The 21,491-nt window shown below is 42.0% G+C and overlaps 1 protein-coding gene across 6 annotated transcripts in view, besides 1 other annotated feature; it reads left to right on the top strand.

Moving 5' to 3' along the window:
* The window catches only part of ULK4 (unc-51 like kinase 4), a 715,505-nt gene that overhangs the window by 597,218 nt on the left and 96,796 nt on the right, over positions 1-21,491 (top strand). The window contains exon 36 of one of the 6 annotated variants that reach the window (NM_001322500.2): positions 13,975-14,483. The exons of the other annotated variants lie outside the window; for them this stretch is intronic. Within the exon in view, the coding sequence (NP_001309429.1) occupies positions 13,975-14,004 (30 nt within the window). The 3' untranslated portion in view covers positions 14,005-14,483. Of the gene's footprint in view, positions 1-13,974; positions 14,484-21,491 lie in introns of those variants that run through there. 6 annotated transcript variants of the gene reach the window in all.
* Positions 1,367-2,126: an enhancer, noted in NCBI's record as "OCT4-NANOG hESC enhancer chr3:41404251-41405010 (GRCh37/hg19 assembly coordinates)". NCBI's record gives its function as "activates a minimal SCP1, AML or CMV promoter by ChIP-STARR-seq in naive and primed H9 embryonic stem cells {active_cell/tissue: H9 hESC(naive and primed)}" and the evidence as "EXISTENCE:reporter gene assay evidence [ECO:0000049][PMID:30033119]".

Genomic DNA, 21,491 nt, shown 5'->3' with positions numbered 1-21,491 from the left:
TGCTCTGGAGAAGGCTCCTGAACAATCCAGAAGGGTGATTATTGAAGCCGTAAAAAAGATTTGTATCTGAGAGTTTCACTTTTCCGAATCTAGTCTGTCTCTAGCCAGTTCCATATATTTTCAGTTATGTTTGCTGGAAAGAGGACTGGAACTCCAATTTGTGTTTGTTTGTGTATTTCTAGAAGGCCTGCTAACATCCACTTGGGAAAATCTTTCTATTTCTTTAATTTTTCCTTATTAAATGATAATGATAACATTCAGCATTGGCATATGTTTATGGTCTCTTGCCTCTAAAGTCTCATTTATCTAGTAAAGAATTCACAAATGGAGAGACTTTGAGCAGCAGTAGAAGAGAAATACCAGGAAAAAAAAATATTGATTTAATAAACCTGTGAAACAGGCTAGCCAAAACAGTACAAGAGTTTTGTTCTCTGTTAAAATGACAATATTTACATACTGATGCCTTAATAATGTAACATGCAAGGGGCGCAGCACAGGGCCTGGTGGAGGGCAGGTGGGCCAGTGTTGTTGCTGATCAATCAGTTCAGGGGCAAAGGTCAGGAAATGGGCAGGAGGTAGAGTGGGGAGTATTGAGTGAGCCCTTCCGGATAGTTAATCACCAGTGACTGGATTAAGAGAAGAGGCTTGGGCCGGGTGCAGCAGCTCACACCTATAATCCCAGCACTTTGGGAGGCCAAGATAGGAAGATCACTTGAGCCCAAGAGCTCAAGACTAGCCTGGGCAACATTTTGAGACCTTGTCTCTACAAAAAATATATATTTTTAAATTAGCTGAGGGTGGTGGCGCATGCCTGTAGTCCTAGCTACTCAGGAGGCTGAAAGTGGGAGGATAGCTTGAGCTGGGGAGGTCAAGGCTGCAGTGAGCTGAGATCACACCACTGCACTCCAGCCTGGGCAACAGAGTGAGACCCTGTATCTACAGAAAAAAAAAAAGAGAGAGAATTTGGATGGAGGGTTCAAATCTTCACTCTGTCCCTTCCTTGGACACATCCCTTAACATCTCAAAACTGAATGGTAGTTTACCTGATAGGGCCCTTTTATGAAGATTACAGCAGATAGATATTCAAAGTGTTTGTCATAGTGCTTGTCACAGAGAAAGCCATCAAGAAAAGACAAATGCATATATGCATGCCCATGCCCACAGATATATACTTTGGAAATGGCAGTTGTCATCTTAAATGTGTGGAATATCCCTACTATATTACAAATTTTCATCCTATTTCTTTAGTAAAGGCCCATTTCTGTTTGATCATGCACACCCTTCCTGTCAGTGGTACACACCTTCTGCTGAGGGGTTCAGTGTTGGGTGAACTAGAATGTACACTGCATAATGCACACATTTTTATTGCTTGCCTCAGCAAGAACCAGAGCTGTGAAGTCAGCTTTATTGGAGCCACACAGAGAGGTAGGGAGCTATCCCAGGCCAGAACCTCCCAGCACAGAGGAAGCCTCTTTTTCCTGATTCGCCAAACCAGGCATCTGCCTTGCTGTGTCTGACTCAGGAGAGCACAGAGCAGTCAACAGAGCTGCTCATGACTTATGCATGAAGATAGGTGATCCCATCTGGCCTCCCTCAAAGTCTTGACCCTTCCCTGTCCCTTCCCTGCTGCTAACAGATAATCCTCAGCCCCTGGGGGACCAGAGGACCATTGCCAATTACTGTGGGCATCTCTATGTGCCCCCCGGGGAGCTCCTTATGCCTTGTTAGGCTTAATTGCATGGCCACTGAGAGCTGGAGCCTCTGGTATTCTCTCTTCAGTGACCTTGGGGCATTGTAGGGATAGGCAGTGTGGCTCAGAGAGTCCACTGCAAAGTTGCAGGTCTCCTCCCTCCATTACCATTACAAAGGCTGGAGAATAGCCAGCCTGCTGGCGAGGCCTCAGCTGCAACAAATGACACTGGAGACTGCATCACTGCACAGAAACTTTCCAGGAACAGTGCAGCCAGATCAGGGCTCTGCTCTCTTGGTGCCTGGGTCTCCTGAGCTTCTGAGCTGTCGTGAAGCTGGAATGTTCTCTGTTGCTAAGTGCTTATCCCAGAGATGTTCTGGTTATTGTCACCGACTGTTAATCAGATGACTCTATAGACTGGGAAACAGTTTTCTTCAAAGTTACTGTTTGACCTTTGTCTTAATAATGATGTAAAATCTACCCATGTATTGAGTGTTTGCTGTCTCTGGGCTGGTCACTGACTGAGTCATTGATGTGGATAATATTAGAACAACCTAATGAGAGGAGATACTATTAACCCCATTTTAGAGTTATAAAATCTGAGGCATAAGAGGATGGCTGAGTAAGTGGTGGAGCCAGGATTTGAAGCTAGATATTTTAGCTTGACAGTTTAACCATCATCATCATTGTATATACTGTATATGATACATGTATACTGTATATGATACCCTAGTATATGAAGAGTTGGCAAAATCCTCTAGGGATCTATTTTTAGGAATGTGTTGCTGATTCGAATGTTCTTAACCAATCTCTGCTTTATCAATAGCTTCAATATGTCAGTCTCTATTTCAGTCACAAATATGAATTCTACCTTTTCTGTTAAAATTGTCTTTGTTCTAAAAAAAATTCCAGAATAATATAGCATCATCATACCTAGTAACTTTCTGAATACTCCAGTCAACACTACACTGGAGAAGTTGCATTTTTTGTGTCTTTAAGCCACAAGTCTATGCCTGTAGGTTTTCACACCTGAAATAAACTTGCTAGACTCAACTGTCTTATGATAGTTAACCCTGTGCTGTCTGACACAACTGAAAAGTGGGCTCTTCTGGTTAATTGAGGTATTTGACCAATGATACTCTCAGGAAGCAGAGGGCAGTAAGATAAGCTTTATCAGCAAAACTCTTCCCTCCACAAATTAATCTTTGTTCAACTGTTTAGAATGCCTTTCTGAAAATACAGTGACCCACATGATATTATAAACAGCAGAACATCAAGTAAAGCCTCAATTATCTTGTTTTACAAGCCTGCTGAAGCTCTTACTTCATAATGACAGATACAAAAACAGCTGACTTCCCTAGAAACAATACCAAAATTCTAGTCTATCTTTAAAGATTTTACTTGCATTGAATGAAAATTCATCATATCAAAATTAGAGTAAGATGCTCCATTTTATTATTATGAATATTTCATACTCATGCAAAAATGTGCAGAAAACAAAATAATAAAGACTTGTGTAACCACCACCCAATAAAATGCTGCTTTAAAAAAAGGTTCTAGTCAGTCACATCGGGATATGAAAACTTATCTCATAGTAGTGTTGTGATATAAAATAATCTCCAAATGATGTACTTTTAACTGTATAGCTTTCAAAGTTCTAAACAGTTTTATTTGTATGTCCAACAAGTTCTGGATTTAGTCAGCTGCTTCCACAAAGAATGGCCCACTGTCAGGCCTGATCCTAGGAGAAGATGAGTTTGTGTCCAAGAGCACTTTTCAAACAATAGGGTAAGGAATTCATATTTTTTGTTAATTTTGTGTATTTTTTCCTGGGTTTTATCTTATCAAATTGGAGTTTTCTCAATCAGATCTAACTTTGCCATTTCCTATTTAAAATCTTATAAAAGATTTTTAAGCCTATCATCTTCTCTCTCAGCTGATGACCTTCATATGTCACTGAGGAAACAGATAAGGAGAGAACACCTCAGATTCTCTCCCCAATATCTGCCAACTGCCTGCACCTGTGCCACAAGGCTGCTGTTCCCTCTTACTGGAGGGGCCAACTCCTCCCTGAGGCTGAGCCCTCAGCTTCTGCACCAGGTCTCACTTTTCCTGCTTGCTCAAGGACATCCCATAGCAGATCTCCCCTTTCTCTCTCCTGCGTCATCAAAGCGCCCCTTCCTGGGTCTTTCCCATCAGAATATGATATGCTGATATATATCACCCATCTGTTTTTTTCCTTCCTTTTTTTTTGATTTCCAACTCTAATTTCAAGTTCAGGGGTACATGTGCCGGATGTACAGGTGTGTTACATAGGTAAACGTGTGCTATGGTGGTTTGTAGCACAGATCATCCCATCACCTAGGTATTAAGCCCAGCATCTGCTGGCTGTTCTGTCTGATGCACTCCCTCCTTCCAGCCTTCACCCTCTGACAGGCCCCAATGTGTGTTGTTCCCCTTCGTGTGTACATGTGTTCTCATCGTTCAGGCTCCCACTTATAATTGAAAACACGTGGTATTTGGTTTTCTGTTCCTGTGTTAGTTTGCTGAGGGTAATGGCTTCCAGCTCCAACCATGTCCCTGCAAAGGACTTGATCTCATTCCTTTTGATGGCTGCATAGTATTACATGGTGTATATGTACCACATTCTCTTTATCCAGTCTATCATTGATAGGCCATTTAAGTTGAGTTCATGTCTTTGCTATTGTGAATGGCGCTGCAGTGAGCATACACGTGCATGTATGTTTATAACAATGATTTCTATTCCTTTAGGTATATACCCACTAATAGGATTGCTGGGTTAAATGGTATTTCTGCCTCCAGGTCTTTGAGGAATTGCTACGCTGTCTTCCACAATGAGTTGAACTAATTTCTACTCCCACCAACGGTATAAAAGCATTCCTTTTTCTCCACAACCTCACCAGCATTGTTGTTTTTTGACTTTTTAATAGTAGCCATTCTGACTGGCATGAGATGGTATCTCATCGTGGTTTTGATTTGCATTTCTCTAATGATCAGTGATGTTGAGCTTTTTTTCATGTTTGTTGGCTGTATATATGCCTTCTTTTGAGAAGTGTCTGTTCATATCCTTTGCCCACTTTTTAATGGGTTTTTTTTCCTGTAAATGTTTAAGTTCCTTGTAGATGTTGGGTATTAGACTTTTGTCAGATGGATAGTTTGAAAAAATTTTCTCCCTTTCTGTAGGTTGTCTGTTCACTCTAATGAGAGTTTCTTTTGCTCTGCAGAAGCTCTTTAGTTTAATTGTATCGTATTTGTCAATTTTTGTTTTTGTTGCAATTGCTTTTGGCATTTTCATCATGAAATCTTTGCCCATGCCTGTGTCCTGAATGGTATTGCCTAGATTTTCTTCTAGGGTTTTTATAGTTTTGGGTTTTACATTTAAGTCTCTACTCCATCTTGAGTTGATTTTTGTATATGGATATCACCCACCTTTAAAAAAGAAAATAAAAGCCTCTCCAGATCCACATTCCTGTCTAACTCTGCCCCATTTCCTTACCTGCCTTCCCAACAAAACTTCTTGGGAGAGTTGTCTAGACTCACTGTCTCCAGCTAGCTGAGCATCTGTACCTGCAACTCTTGCTGGTGACTAGTGAATGATCAGTTCTTAGTCCTTGGCTGACTTGGCCTTTGGCACAGCCAGTGACTCCTGCTTCAGGAACACTCTCTCCCTTGGTTTCTGGGACACCCTACCCTCTTGCTTCTCCCGACACACTGACCGTTCAGCTCAATCTCTGTGGCTGGTGTCTCTAAACGTTGCAGTGCCTGCCTGAAGATTGGGTCCTAAGACTGCTACTCCTCTCCATCTGGGTTTGCTCCCTAGGGGAGCTCATCCAATTTCTAGCTTTTTCTATCATCTTTACAGTTGGGCCTCTGTATTTGTACCTTCAGCCCACCCAGAGCCTGAACTCGAGTCTGACGGAGTCAGCTGCATGCTCCACATCTTCGCCCACTTGGCTCATTGGCACCTCAGGCTTCTCATGGCCTCCCCAGGCCTGTTCCTCCCTCACTCCTGTTCGCCTTAGTCATGGCAGCTTCAAGTTTCCCAAGTCAGACCTTGCATCAGCAAGTCCTGCTTCTTCAGTAGGGTGAACTCTGAGCAGAGGCCTGAAGGGAGTGAGGGAACAAGTCATCTCTAACTCTTCCCTCTCTCACACTCCACCCCGTTTACCAACCCATTTTGTTGGCCCTACTTTCAACGTATGTGAAGAATCTGATCATTTTTACCACCTCCACTGCTCCACCCAATCCGTCACCCCACACATGGTTTATTGTAACTGCCTTGTCTTCCTGCTTCCACCATTGCCCCTCACCCCCACCCCAGTTCATTCTCAACACAGCAGCCAGAGCCATCCTCTGAAAACCTAAGTAAGTTTATGGCATGCAAGCCGTGGACTGGCTGTCCATCTCGGAGTAAAATCCAGTTCTCCCTCATCTTTGAGGCCCCTGCAGTCAGTCTCCACTACCTACACGTCTCACCTCCTCTCTGGCCACTTTTCTTCCTGCTCACTCCAGTCGTGATGCACTTGCTGTTTTTGAGGCACACCAAGTATACTTGTACCCCTAGGCCTTTTTATGTGCTCTGCCCTCTTTCTGGAAGATTCTTCCACATAACTGCATAGCTTCCTCCTTTCCTTCCTTCAGGTCTTTACTCACATGTCACCCTGTCAGAGAGGCCTTCCCTGACCAGCCTGCAGGAACAGGCGCCCCTTTCTCTGCCTCTGCATCCTTTGCCTGCTGATTTAGCTTGCTTTATCCCCTTTACACTTACTGTCTTTTCTTATTGTGTTTTGCCTATTTGCTTGTTTATTTTCTGTTGTTTATCTGCCCCTCTGATATACAGGCACTACATAGATAATGAATTTGTACATTCTTATCCTCATTGCTATATACCTAACACCTATAATTGTACTAGGGATATGGTTTGTTTAAATAAATGAGTAGTTTTTGTAAAGTATGCACCTGCTCCTCTCTGGAATGGGCTTGAGCCACAATCTGTTCTGCGGAGCCCACTCCATTGTGGTGTGTTTGCCCTCCAATGTCCTGTAGCTAGAGATCATGTGAGAGGCAGTGTGGTGTAATGGTGAACAGCACAAGTTCTGGAGCCAAAGTTGCCAAGTTTGAACCTGCCTCCAGCACTTACTGGCACTCTGACCTTAGAGAGGTCACTTAACCTGTCTGTGCCTCCAATTTCTTCATCTGTAGAATGGGTTTCTAATAGTTTTCTCTTTTTATACATGAGGCTATTGTGAGGACCAGATGAGTTATTTCTGTAAAAGCAATTAGAGCAGTGCCCAGCACACGATAGATGCTAAGTGTTAGTTGTAATATTTTTGTTCATCTTTGGATCCTCCGTGACTCCTGCCACAGTAGGTTGAATTAAGTGAGCTTACATCAAATCTACATGTCTCCTTTTGGAGGTACAGCGTAAGTGGGAGGGGACAGCATCAGATTGGCAGGCAGTAGACCTATACCTATGCTGAGCTGTTACCATTTCATGAATGTGTTCGACAAACATGTTCTGAGCCCTACTCTGTGCTAGGCTCTGCACTAGGTGTGCGACAAATGGCAGTGAGCAAACACAGATGACAGTCTCCAGTGCCAAGGATCTCTCAGCTCCACCCTGTTTAACTGTGAGATCCTGGTGTCCCACTCTCAGAAACTGACACCGCGGGAAGCAGACCACATGCAATCTATAATTACATCTTCTGGCTCCCACCCACTCTTAGGCTGTGGGGTGTTCCTGCCAGCCGAGCACTCCGGAGAGCGTTCTACCCCACACGCCATGAACACATCCTCACAGTTGGATCGAGGCTGCTGACTTGGACTGTCACTTATTCTTCCTATGATATCTTTCTTGAGGAGGCAAGGTTTTCATGTTGAGTCTAGGTTGAAGTCTCCACTCTACACTGGGAAACCTGGGACAAATTAATTAACTTCCTTAAGTATTTATTTTCTTTATCAAAAGCTGGAGATTGTAACATCTGCTTCATAGATTAATGTGAAGATCGAATGTTTACCCAAATGTCCTCACATAGTCCAAGCTTCTAGGGTGATTATTGCCTTTAATCTCCAAATAAAACAACTGCTTTACTCTGGGGTCCAACACCCTCCAGTGGTTGCAGAAGATGCCTGAAAAGTGGAAAGGGCTTAGAGTCGAGATTCCACACCCCAAATTCTTGCTTGTGACTCACTATCATACCTTTTGCCTTCCTCAGAGCATGGACCTGAGCCTCTCTATTTCACCTATTTCATGTGCAGGTGTGGGGAGCAGGTGTTTTCAACCTGCTGCCTGAACTACTAGGCCTCATTCTTCCTTGCACCCCACTTCTCAGGCTTCCCTCTTCCCTTCACTCCTTTCTCTCCCTTGAAGCTGCTCCCCAGACACCTGGCCCTGATGGGCTTTGCCTGGTTTCAGCTTCCACTCTGATTCTGTCTTCCCTGTGAAACATCCTAACCAGAAGAACATCCATTTTCTTAGCAAAATTAAATCTTTATTTTAATTTTCTGATTGTGCAGGTAACATATAACCTTTAGAGAAAACAAAGCATTACAGCAATGAGTGAAAATGTTAAAAAAAATATATCTTAGAAAAAGGAATCATACTGTACCTGTCCCACAACTGCCTTTTTGCACTGGCTTGTGAGGCGTGGAATGTTTAGTCTGGTTAAGCTACACTTAATAAGTAGTAAGGATATGGTTCCTGATGCTGTGATTTGGGATGCCACCATATCCTCAGACCTCTGTGAGTGATTGTATTAGAGAAGAACAGTCACTGAGAATTTGGAGACAGGAGAGACTATCAAGATAAACGGCAAGAGATGATATACACCTGACAGTGACAAATCAAATGCATTCCTGCCAGGCAGCTTCAGGTCTCGTCTATGCGTCTGGCGTATCCCAAGGACTGCCACATCTCAATCTCATATTAATAGGACTAGATGTGTTTTGAGTGATCCTCTGTCCTTTATAGAAGCATGTAAAGTCACAGAAGAGCCAAAGAGCAGTTTGGCAGGGAGAACACAGGGGACAGGGCTTCTCTGTGGCAGCCTCAAATATGGAAACAAATTTAATTACAAGGGCTATGACCTATTTTCATCTCACCAAGGTCAGAATGATAAACAATTTAAATAAGTTATAATTTTGTGATAGTTACATATCCAGGTGCTTATCTGAAAGAGGCTGTGGGATATCCTTCAGGCTAGAAAAATGGTTTGCATAGAGTATTTGTTCTCAAGTTTTCTGTTTTGAATTTGATGACATTTTTAAGCTAGCTCTTTCACTTTAGCATATCCAGTAATGAAATAAACAGTATAAAATATGAGACAGTGCTAGTTAAACATTTATACCAGCCCTACCCTGTCATTTCTTCAAACTATTAAAATGTAATGTTTTTATATGAAATCATTATAAATTTATAACAAGTCTAATCTGTGGTGATGCACTATTCCATGGACTGTGAATTATTGTTCTAAATTTTGGTTGGCATATGCTTTCTCTGAGTGATGTGCTAGGATGATTAGATCCTGTGATGCAGTATAAGAATATATCTTCTAATTTGCATAAAACATGAGTGCTGATTATACAGTTTGATTTGAGACCTTCTAAAATATTTTTTCAAACAACAGTCTTGACAGTCAGCTCTCTTACAATAAGAAAGTTGATTATGAATACTGCCCTGAAGACTTTCTATCCCAAAATCTCTATTAAGAATATATCCATACAGGGAATTACTCTTTGAAAAGATCACTGAGTCTTCACGATGGGTACAATAATTGATCTATAAGTAGAAGTTAGGTTTTGTAGGGCTTTTGACAAGCCCAAGAGCATTTTTGGGTTTGGAGGCTGAGATTCAAGCCAGGATTGTATCTCTTTCCCAGGTCCAGTCTTAGATGTGGGCGGACCAAAAGCTACCATTCTAAGGTAATTGAAGAGTATGGGTGTGCCATTCCACCTCAAAGCATCTCTGTCTTTTGGGTCTTCCCTGAAAGTCATCATTAGTTTCTAAAATTTTACCACTAGAGATCTTTCTTTGGGTACAAACACTCCTTAATACACAGACACTCTTGAAAAGGTAATTGTCTTTACCCTTAGCACAGTTATTTTTGTTATTTTCCTGGCAAACAAGAGTTTTCTAGCTACTTTCCAGTGTGGTAGAGAGTTGAGAGCAACTCCTTTAGAATTGATGAACAGGAACCTCGCAGCGCTTTGAGGCACATATTCAGAGAAGGGAAAGATAGCCATCACTAGAGGGAGGAGCATCCACAGATAGAGGTGAGGTCAGCAAGCCATTCTGGATCTCTGAAATAAAACAGAGGTCAAGTGTTCAACCTGGAGAAGACTGCACAGAAGTGCTCATCTGCAATTACATGTGTCTGTAATGAATACAGATTTGTAAAAACAAGTTATAATCTTGTAAACACAGCTTTAGTGGGCTTGCTTGAAACTAGCAGAGTTTGCTTGCCCCATCTCAGAGTGGGACCTCATTTCCTGATCTTCCAGGACACTTTTGTAACCTGGCTTCTGTCAAGCTTCTGCTTGTCCCCAGCTTAAGAGCAGAAACTATAATAAAGAGTTCTCTACTGTGTCCTTACCTCAAAGAATCCCCAGTCTAACAGGTAAGAGACATGTTACCATATATTGTTGTCATACAATGTTTGTAATTAAATGAGAACTATCTGCAAATGTGTCCCTAAATGAGTTAGCCCGTTTGAAAACCAGATTCCACTGAAATATCTGAAACAGCCAGAGAGGCTTGATTTATAGTGGATACAATCTATGGAAATTATGGGCAGTGACACTTGGAAAAGAAGCCCCTGTCACGTTATTCAAGACTTCAATAAAAGCAGATTGGACTCCATGGTCTCATAAGGCCCCTCTCCATGAGTTCATGATATCAACATAGCCCCTGCTCAGCCACTGTGGACTGAGGGGAGAAGGCAGGGAGTGACAGAGTGGTCAACAATGAACCAAGGATAGTCACCCTCTTACGTGGCTCACACTGGACTGCACATCCCAGCCTCCCTTGCATTCAGGTTCCACTAATGATGTGTGAGGGCATATGTGTGACTTCTGGGATGAGTTTCCTTGGCAGGCAGTGGTGCCTTCTCAGCCCTCTCTCTGCCTATTTGCCAGCTGCATGCAGAGGGCTCTGGGATCCTCATGGGACAGTGGAGCCCCACAATGGAAAGAGCATGGGTCTCTGAGACACTAGGTAGCAGGCCACCTTTGTGATTTGCATTGAATTGTCTATGAGAAGACACAAGAAATAAACTTCTAAGGTGTTTAGTCACCGAGATTTGGGTGAAGGAAGGGATGGTGAGGCATCTGTTACTTCATCTAGCATTATTTTAACTAGTATAGTAGGTGTACCCTATAGAAGTAAGACCAGGAAAGTTATAAAGCAGTCTTTCTTTGTTTTGCTTTAGTAGTAGTAGTAGTAGTAGTAGTAGTAGTAGTAGTAGTAGTAGTAGTAGTAATTGTAATTATTATTATTATTATTATTTATTAGAGAAAGGGTCTTGCTCCATTACCCAGTCTGGAGTGCAGTGGCATAATCGTAGCTGACTGTAACCTTGAACTCCTGGGCTCAGGTGATCCTCCTGCCTCATCCTACTGAGGAGCTAGGACTACAGTCATGAGCTACCACACTCAGCTAATTTTTAAAAAAATTTTTGTAGAAATGGGCTCTCGCTATGTTGCCCAGGGTGGTCTTGAACTCTGGGGCTCCAGAAATCCTCTCCCCTTCCCAAAATGCTGAAATTACAGGCATGAGCCACCACACCCAACCTACTTTAGTCATTATTGGCTTTATGTTAACGTTCTACTGCTCCAGAATGTTAAAATATTTTAATACAAATTTGTGTCTATATCACTGGCCCTCTGAATAGAGATTAATCTGGTCTGTAGTTGGTGAGGTAGGTCAATGCTTAGTGGAATCAGTTCCTGCTTGTTCTAAGAGTCAACAGAAATCTGAATTCCAGAGAGGGTTCTAAGATGGGGAGACCCAGGAGCAACGGGTACCAAAGCTTAACATTTCTACATAGTAGGCAGGAGACAGTATCCTGGAACAGGCCAAAGTCAAATTGTTTCTTAGATTTCCCAAGTCCAGAAAGGAAGGCTACCACATACAGCTGGCTTTGAAAGCAAGTCCAGTAGAGTAAAGGCTGGGGAGGGGAAGGCAAGAGGCAGATTCTCAGGTCCATGGGTACTGACTGTTCTGACACCCAATTGGGTGGAAGATGGTACTGCTCTCTTTTGCTTAAGATTAAAAAATGCATGTGCCCTGCTTTTTTTGTGAATTGGCCTTGTTTGACCTTGAAGGTTCACGCTTCCCTGTTAACTGAACCTAGTTAGGCCCTCTGAATCATCTGCCTTCCTGCAAGCCACGCACTCTCCTGTTTGGGCTTTGAGCTCTGCAGAGATGAGGCTGGGAACGTAGTCCAAGGGAAGAAGTTAAGCAAAGAGGATCTCAGCTGCTCTGCTGGGCAAATCAAAAAGTGACTGTCCTGGGAGGGGAAGTTAGTATGGTGTTTACTATTTTTGGCTGCTTCTTGGTGACCAGAGTTCTGATCATGGGACAGGACTGAGAGCATGAGGAGAAGCAGCTCATAACTGAAAGAGATATTGCAGTTCCCAGCAATATGAAGGGAACAAGGAAAGCAGTAGGTTGACAGGGGGCCCCCAGCAGTGGGATATGGCTAATTCCTCCATGAGAACATCAGAACTTGATGCAGAGATTTAAGTTTTCTTTTATGAATTGCAAATCCCTTCTAATACTATCAGTAAATTCTGTAATAAGTACTAGTCAGTGGTGCCTTAAAGATAAAGGAGGGGGAAGCCGTGTGTACTCTTGTCAAGGACAGTGTAGGTGTATGTGACCCTTACCATTCCTCTGTAGCTACAATGATGGTTGTAGCATTTGTGGAGGAGCAGGAAGGGGCACCAGTCATCCTCTAGTCCAGCTGGTAACCAGGAGCCAAGTCAGAGGAAGCCTGCGGTCAAGTGAAGAGTATGAGGCCATGGCCAGATAGCATAGAAACAGAGTGGAGACACTCCAAGCTCCCTCCTTCAAATACATTATAGCAGTGTTGCTCAACCTTTTTTTCACATGCACCTTAAGGAACCTTTTTTGACTTATTTTCCCTGACTACCTCTATCTATGCAATTTTAATATAGACTGTGTCTGTTTATGTATTGTCCTTTGGCACAAACCACTGTAATATGTAAGCTTTAGTCCCACTTGCTGAACCAGTTTTCACCCATGTGGAAGCAGTATCACCCTGATGAGAATGCAGTCCTAGAAGCAGATGACCTAGACAGGGGGAAGGTCAGATCTTCCACCCTGTGGATGGGATGACCATAGAAGTCCCTTGGGTGTCTGATGCTGGACACAGAAGACAAGATGGGAAAGGGAGCACCTTCTTCCCATCTTGCTTGGAGACTCACCAGGCATATGGATCTTCTCTGTGAGAAGATGGCTCCATTTGGAAAGGCAGAAACTTGGATTTGTCCCAAGGAGAAAGCCTCATCTTTAAGCAGCCAGTGAGGCTCTTACAGCATTTTGGAGAGGCCAGGGGTGGAGTGCTACAATTTGTATCTTGAATAAGAAGAGAAAAGATGAAGCAGTGCCCTCTCAAATACCAACCACTGTGGAATCCCTGGAGGTTCTAATTTTCAGTATTTCAGAATGTACTCTGGAGAGATTGGCAATTATGCCACTTTACTTCTGCAGCATTTTTGTAAAATTCCTGGTGTATTCCTCAGAAACCAGCCTGTGGGTTTTGTCCATCAGGTGCATGTTGTTGCAGTCAGCTCCTGGTTTAACTTTTTGTGAATAAGGAAACCCCATTAATGTCTGTCTCACATGCTCTGGCACTAGGCCATCCACTACCAATCCCACAGAAGTCATATTTCCCTCTGTGGTGAGTTACCTTTGAGGAGAACCAAGGCCTTGAATCACCAGCTTTTTCAGGGGGTATATCAAGTCATACTGCTGGGTGTAAAGTTCTGTGCTACCCAGAAGTTTGCTGGCTTTCCAGAAAACGACTCTTACAAGACTTGACTTATCTTCCGTCCTACGTGCTTCAGTGTGGAGTGGAAAGGAAAGCCATTCTCAGAGCAGTCTGCCAGGGAGAAGTTTATCACCTGACATGCTTAGAGGTTTTGTTTCAATTTCTGCCACATGAATGAGAGAAATCTTTTATTACAAGGTCCTGTAGTCCCTTTTATTGATGCTTCTGAGACATCCTTTACTTTCATTCTAGAAGAGGTTGGTAGAAGCAGTTGTCTTGTGAACTTCCCTGTGCTGGAAGAAGAGAACCTGAAGGTTGGTCTCCAGAAGGACAAAGCCTTGTTAATTTCTCTCCAAAAAGAAATCTGCACATTTCTGGCAACACCAGCTGACTCCTGTGAAGGCTACTCCTGCTCCTGTGTTAGGATGGATACTTGGATTTCTGTATCTCTTCTCTGATGGCAGAGGCTACCCCAGTGAGTCAGACCTTGCCAAACACAATGACACTTAGGAAAGACAGTTAAGAGTAAACCGTGAGTTCACTGCAAAGTCTAGATGATTCTGGAGTTGCTGGATACAAGTAACTTTGGTTATTATTAAAACACACCCACACACTCCTGGCTGTCAAACAGTAAACCACAATTTCACCTTCTTAGGCAAGCCGTCAAATTGTAGTTTTTTTTAAGCAGCATTACTTTTTGGTTTACACATAATAAACATTAAAAAGATAGCAAAAGATATATAATTCTTTATAAAGATTATTTCTGTTTATGTGAAGGTAATAAACTTCCAATGAAATAAAATTAGTTATATGAAAACCTTGTGTTTCTGTTTGTGTATGTTTTTCTGGAGAAGAGATCCATAACTTTTGTCCTACACTTAAAAAGGCTTATGACTCAAAATACAAGAACAAAATCAAAAGCAAAAGATCAAGAACATGCTACCCCTCTGCTGAGAAGACAGAGACAGTTAAGTAAGGATTTTATAAGACTATTTTTTCAACTTACACTTTTAGTATCTTCTGAGGTTAAATATGAGAATGTTAAATATAACGAATAGCAAGTTTACATAAAATATGGAAAGGTCTGTTCGTGAATAAATGACTTTCACAAATCACATTTATCATAGTATTAAATTATAGAATATATACTGTGTTCCTGGAAAATACACCAATGAAATAGCACAGAGAATTTATATTCACATTAATAATGGCAAGATGGACAAAATAATCTTCATCTTCTTTTTCAGAAAGATGTGTGCGGCCTTCATAGTGGTGCTATGGTGATATTTATAGGGGAAAAATTATTTATAGAAAAATTAAGCTATTTCATTGAAAGTAGGAATAAAATACCTTGGATTCTGCATTTCATATAGCAAGACCCCTCCAAAGAGGAACTTACATGCCGTATGTGTGTGGCCAGAACCCCAAGGGGAAATCAGAGTTTTATGTTTATATTTGACAAATGGAATGAGGGTGGAAAAGACACTATTTTTGCCCTACTTTGCCTTTTCTAGAGTTCAGTTCTACAGGAGGGGCAGGGATTTAGAAACTGTTTTTTATTATGACTACTCGTAGTAATTCTGCTACCACTGCTACTCCTAAAGGCCCCTCTCATGCGTCTGCCCATAAAATGTTGAGTATTGGTGCATGGAACAGTTTTATGCTGGTCCCTGAGGAAGACTTAGGCATAAGACTAGAGGGTAGAGAAGTTTGGCTTTTGTCATTCCAAGTCAAATGGACCTAGAGGCCAGCTCTCCTGAACCAACCTAGGTTGTCAGGTTTCCTTAAGGATGTCCCTAGAAACCTGCTGTTTCTGATCATATGTTATTCAGGAAATGCTGAATCACAAGTCTATTACTGGTCAAATCACAAGAGTCTATGACTGCCTTCCAGGAGTTATATGAGATATGAATGGAAGGATAGATGGATATTTGTGGTGTGAGAAAAGCCAGCTCTGTGAATGATAAATAGGGAATGGGGGCATATGGTGAATTCAGTAGGAGTTCAGCCATCTACCTTATGTGACCTTTAGTATGGCCCGAGCCTAGAGATCCTCTGGTCTTCCAGATGTGCTCAGAATGCATCACTTCAGACTGGAGGGCTTCACCAACCCCATTTCTGTTTGGACCAGTGTCTCAGAGGCTGACTTGGGGAAGAATAAACCACTTAGCCCACAGCTTTATAAGGATGCTTTGGTTCCTTGGGTCTCTTGGAGACCTGGTTCTAAGTGACATTACAGAAGACATTCACTTCTCTGGAGTCTCTGGGCTTTCTGAGTCTCCCAGAAGCTAAGAATTAAGGACTCTGGTCCACTCTGGCGAGGTGCAGCCAAACCGTGTTTGTTCATTTTTTACTAAATCAGATTTTATCAAATCTGATACGTCTGTAAATTCATAAATATGGAAGTTCCTTGGAAGTATGATGTGTTATGCAGATATAAAGGACTTCTGTTAACCTCTTTTGATTTTTCCTGCTATAAAACTAATCGTACTCAAAGAAGTCTTACATTTACTCGCGTTTTACTGGGGCTTAGTGTATGTGCTCAGTTATATTTATCTCTTTTGGAAAGTTCTTAGGCAGCATAAAGGGTGTAGGACTTTGGAGGCAGAAGGATTTTTAGCTGTTTGGGCCTCTCTGAGCTCACTCATCCTCTCTGGCCCCCATCCCTCCTCTGTAAAGCCAGGATAATAATAGGGGCATTCTAGAGTTGTTTTGAGACAGAAATCAGTGTCAATAAAGCCCTTGCACAAACCCTGCACTTGGTGGGCACACACTAAATGACAGCCTTTACCTTGTTCCCCAGTACACCTTGTCCTAGACACACAGAAATGCTGAATTGTGTTTGCTGGAGGTGAATGCTACGCCTGTGTCAAAACTTCATCCTTTCACATTTGAAATCTTATTCTTTTTGCCACCTCTTGGTCCATGTACTTTTTTTTTTTTTTTTTTTTTTTTTTGAGACAGAGTTACTTTTTTGCCTAGGCTGGAGTGCAATGGTGTAATCTCAGCTCACTGCAACCTCCACCTCCCAGGTTCAAGCGATTCTCCTGCCTCAGCCTCCCAAGCAGCTGGGACTACAGATGCATGCCACCACACCTGGCTAATTTTTTGTATTTTTAGTAGAGACAGGGTTTCACCATATTGGCCAGGATGGTCTCGAACTCCTGACCTCAGGTGATCCACCTGCCTCAGGCTCCCAAGGTGCTGGGGTTACAGGCATGAGCCACTGTGCCTAGTGGTCCATGTACTTTTTAAGCTTATTAAATCAGGAAATCTGCCTGCTTATATCTTCCTAATACCTTATTGCGCATACAAGTAACAGGTACTGATGCTTCTTGTAAATAAAGCAATATACTAAGGGTTACCTTGCCCTCAGTGGGCCCAGAGTAGATGACACGATGTGGGATAAGAAGTGGCCCATGCACAGAAGGAGAGACTCCTTTTGTCTGGAGACACTATGGCGAGTTTCTTAGACAAGGTGGTATCCGAGATGAGTTTGCAAACGTGTGCACGATTTGATCATGCAGATGTGGCAGGAAGAGCATTCCAGATAGGAGGAATCACGTGAGGATGAGTATGGTGGCAGGAAAGGGAGAACCATATATATATAAGAGAGGAAAGGAAGTGTTAGATAGGGTGTTGCATGCATGAAAGGGAAGAGGAGGAAGAAATGAAGTTGGCAAGACAAATCTGAACCTGATCTGGGAGAATCTTGACTATCTCATGATTTTTGAGAGCTGGAGCACAAAACATCTGTCTTGTTTACTTGCTGGAATGTTGTGGCCTGTCTGGTTTTGCTTTTTAGACTATGAAGTTAATTTCCAACAAAATAATTCTTTATTTTATGATTTTTTTCCAAAAATGAAAAGACATTTCACATGCTAAAGACTTAAAAGCAATATACACATGACAAGTCTAGTTAGCACATGTCTAACTTTGGACTGAGTTGATTATTGGAATAAACTTTAAAGCTGCTGCAATGCGCCTTTGAACTCAGCTAGAGCTGCAGCGACGGCACTTTTATTTAGTGCCTGCTTTATTCAGAAAAAGGTATAAATCTTTACTTATGAATCCTATGTGGGTTTTTTTTTTCCTGAATATTTGTTCCTATGTCTAAAAAGGGGGGATTCCAGTGACTAAATTCTGTAATTGGAGTTCTTTGAAGATAAATCCTGAGTAATGACTCCATGTATTGTAGATTATTTTTAAGCCATTAGAAAAGTTTGAAGCTCATCAGCAAAAGCACCGAGTCTATATGTGACCAAGCCCTCAAATCCAAATGACTGACTCATACTCTTGTCATGTTAAATGCTTTATACTTAAGAATACTTGGAAAATATTTTTAAAGGAATTATTTCAGAAAAAGAGAGCTCAAAGATAGAATATCTCTGCTTGCTGTCTTCTTTTTCAATTACTTTTACTTCAGACTTATTTTCCACAGCACACAAATGTATGTCTTATTAATTGTGCAGTTATTATGAAAAGTAGTTCCCAATGAAAATTAACATAAACCAAAAACTTGAAAATATTAAACTAATTCTAAAAGAATTAAATGGCAGAATTCTTTCTCCATACCCCTTTCAGCCTCCCTCCCTCTGTCCGTTCCTCCTCATACCTGCCTCGGTCTGACTTACCTCTTGCTCTCCAGGCATTCCAGTCTGGACACTGGTGGGAGCACTGAGCCAGTGCCGAGCTCACTTTCTGCAGAGAAGGGAAAGCAAGAACTGCAGTATGCCAAAAAGGATAGCATTGATATTGTTGAAGAGGAAACCTAGGGTTCCTTGTGAGACAAATATGAGGAGACAATAGGAACTTCCAAAAAGCAAGTAAAAATAAGTCCTGGATGTTGCAATGTGGCCCAGCATGAGTGGTGGGTCGTGGAAGAGGTGAGAAGAAAAGACAGCCCCACAGATCATTTGCCAGGTTCTCAGTGCACTAGGTGAAACGCTCAGTCAATGTTTACTGAGCACCTCATGAAAGCTCCATACTGCCCTGCTTAAAGCCCAGCCAGCGGGTTCCTCCTGCCCTCAGATGAAGCCGGGAGTCTTGAGTGTGGCTTACGAAGTCCTTCTTGACTTCTGCGTTATCTCTCTGTTGTTGCCTCTCACGCATCCTGTCCTTATACTCTGCACCCACCTGTTCTGGCCCTATCAGTCTTCCTGCTTGGCTGTACCTTTGGGCTCTTCCCTCTACCTAGAACAGTGTTATCTCCCAACACCAGCCCCTGTCCTCACCTCCCCCCTGCAAATTCCTGCTCTGTATGCAAGTCTTGGTTTATAGCCTTTACCCACTGGGGGCAGATAATGTCTGTGCTACTCCCATTGTAGCATTCATGACTTTGTTTTGTACATTTTTTAATTTATTTTACTTTTCTTCAACTTATATTTTCATGTGTACATGTGCAGGATGTGCAGGTTTTTTACATAGGTAAATGTGTGCCATAGTGGTTTGCTGCATAGATCATCTTGTCACCTAGGTATTAAGCCCAGCATCTATTAGCTATTCTTCCTGATGCTCTCCTTCCCGCCACCCCCAACCTCTAACAGGCCCCACTGTGTGTGGTTCCCCACTATGTGTCCATATGTTCTCATCATTCAGCTCCCACTTACAAGTGAGAACATGCAGTGTTTAGTTTTCTCTTTCTGCATTAGTTTTCTGAGGATAATGGCTTGCAACTCCATCCATGTCCTTGCAAAGGACATGATCTCATTCCTTTTTATGGCTGCATAGTATTCCATTGTGTATATGTACCACATTTTCTTTATCCAGTCTATCATTGTTGAGTATTTAGGTTGATTCCATGTCTTTGCTATTGTGAATGGTGCTGCAGTGAACATACACATGCATGTATCTTTATAACAAAATGATTTATATTCCTTTGGGTATATATCCAGTAATGGGATTGCTGGGTCAAATGGTATTTCTGCCTCTAGGTCTTTGAGGAATTGCCACGCTGTCATCCACAATGGTTGAACTAAATTACACTCCCACCAACAGTGTAAAAGTGTTCCTTTTTCTCTGCAATCTCATCAGCATCTGTTGTTTTTTGACTTTTTAATAATAGCCATGCTGACTGGCATGAGACGGTATCTCGTGGTTTTGATTTGCATTTCTCTAATGATCAGTGATGTTGGGCTTTTTTTCATATTTGTTGGCTGCATGTATGTGTTCTTTTGAAAAGTGTCTGTTCATGTCCTTTGCCCACTTTTTGGTGCAGTTGTTTTTTTCTTGTAAACTCAAGTTCCTTGTAGACTCTGGATATTAGACCTTTGTCAGATGGATACATTGAAAAATTTTTTTCCCATTCTGTAGGTTGTCAGGTCACTCTGATTATAGTTTCTTTTTTTGTGCAGAAGCTCTTTAATTAGATCCCATTTGTCAATTTTTGCCTTTTTTTTTTTTTTTTTTTTTGAGACAGAGTCTTGCTCTGTTACCCAGGATGGAGTACAATATCATGACCGCGGCTCACTGCAACCTTTGCCCCCCGAGTTTAAGCATTTCTCATGCCTCAGCCTCCTGAGTAGCTGGGACTATAGGTGTGTGCCACCATACCTGGCTAATTTTTTGTACTTTTAGTAGAGACACAGTTTCACCATTTTGGCCAGGCCGGTCTCAAACTCCTGACCTCAAGTGATCCACCCACCTCAGCCTTCCAAAGTGCTGGGATTACAGGTGTGAGCCACCTCACCCGGGCAATTTTTGCTTTTGTTGCAGTTGCTTTTGGTGTTTTCATGATGAAATCTTTGCCCATGCCTATGTCCAGATAGTATTGCCTAGATTTTCTTCCAAGGTTTTTGTAGTTTTGGGTTTTATATTTAAGTCTTTAATCCATCTTGAGTTAATTTTTGTATATGGTGTAAGGAAAAGGTCCAGTTTTAATTTTCTGTATATGTAGCTAGCCAGTTCTTCCAGCACCATTTATTAAATAGGGAATCCTTTCCCCACTGCTTGTTTTTGTCAAGTTTGTCGAAGATCAAATGGTTGTAGGTGTGTGGTCTTGTTTTTGAGTTCTCTATTCTGTTCCATTGGTTTATGTCTGTTCTTGTACCAGTACCATGCTGTTTTTGTTACTGCAGCCTTGTAGTGTAGTTTGAAGTCAGGTAGCATGATGCCTCCAGCTTTGTTCTTTTGGTTTAGAATTGTTTTGGCTATTTGGGTTCTTTTTGGTTCCATTTGAATTTTAAAATAGTTACTTCTAATTCTGTGAAGAATGTCATTGCTAATTTAATGGGAATTGCATTGAGATGGCCATTTTCACAATATTGATTCTTCCTATCCATGAGCATGGAATGCTTCTTCATTTGTTCATGTTCTCTTTGATTTATTTGAGCGGTGGTTTTTACTTCTCCTTGAAAAGGTTCTTCACTTCTCTTGTTAGCTCTATTGCTGGGTATTTTATTCTTTTTGTAGCAATTGTGAATGGGAGTTCATTCATGATTTGGCTCTTGGCTTGTCTGTTGTTGGTGTATAGGAATACTAGCGATTTTTGCACATTGATTTTGTATCCTGAGATTTTGCTGAAGTTGCTTATCAACTTAAGAAGTTTTTGAGAGTATCATTGGTCAGGCGTGGTGGCTCACGCCTGTAATCCCAGCACTTTGGGAGGCCAAGGCAGGCGGATTGCCTGAGGTCAGGAGTTCGAGACCAGCCTGGCCAACATGGTGAAACCCCTCTCTACTAAAAATACAAAAATTAGCCAGGCGTGGTGGCGTGTGCCTATAATCCCAGCTACCCAGGAGACTGAGGCAGGAGAATCACTGGAACCCGGG

This window comes from Homo sapiens, chromosome 3 (assembly GCF_000001405.40).
Source record: "Homo sapiens chromosome 3, GRCh38.p14 Primary Assembly".
Taxonomy (NCBI): domain Eukaryota; kingdom Metazoa; phylum Chordata; class Mammalia; order Primates; family Hominidae; genus Homo; species Homo sapiens.
The sequence above is the reverse complement of the archived record's forward strand: the minus strand, read 5'-3'. Positions and strand labels throughout refer to the sequence as shown.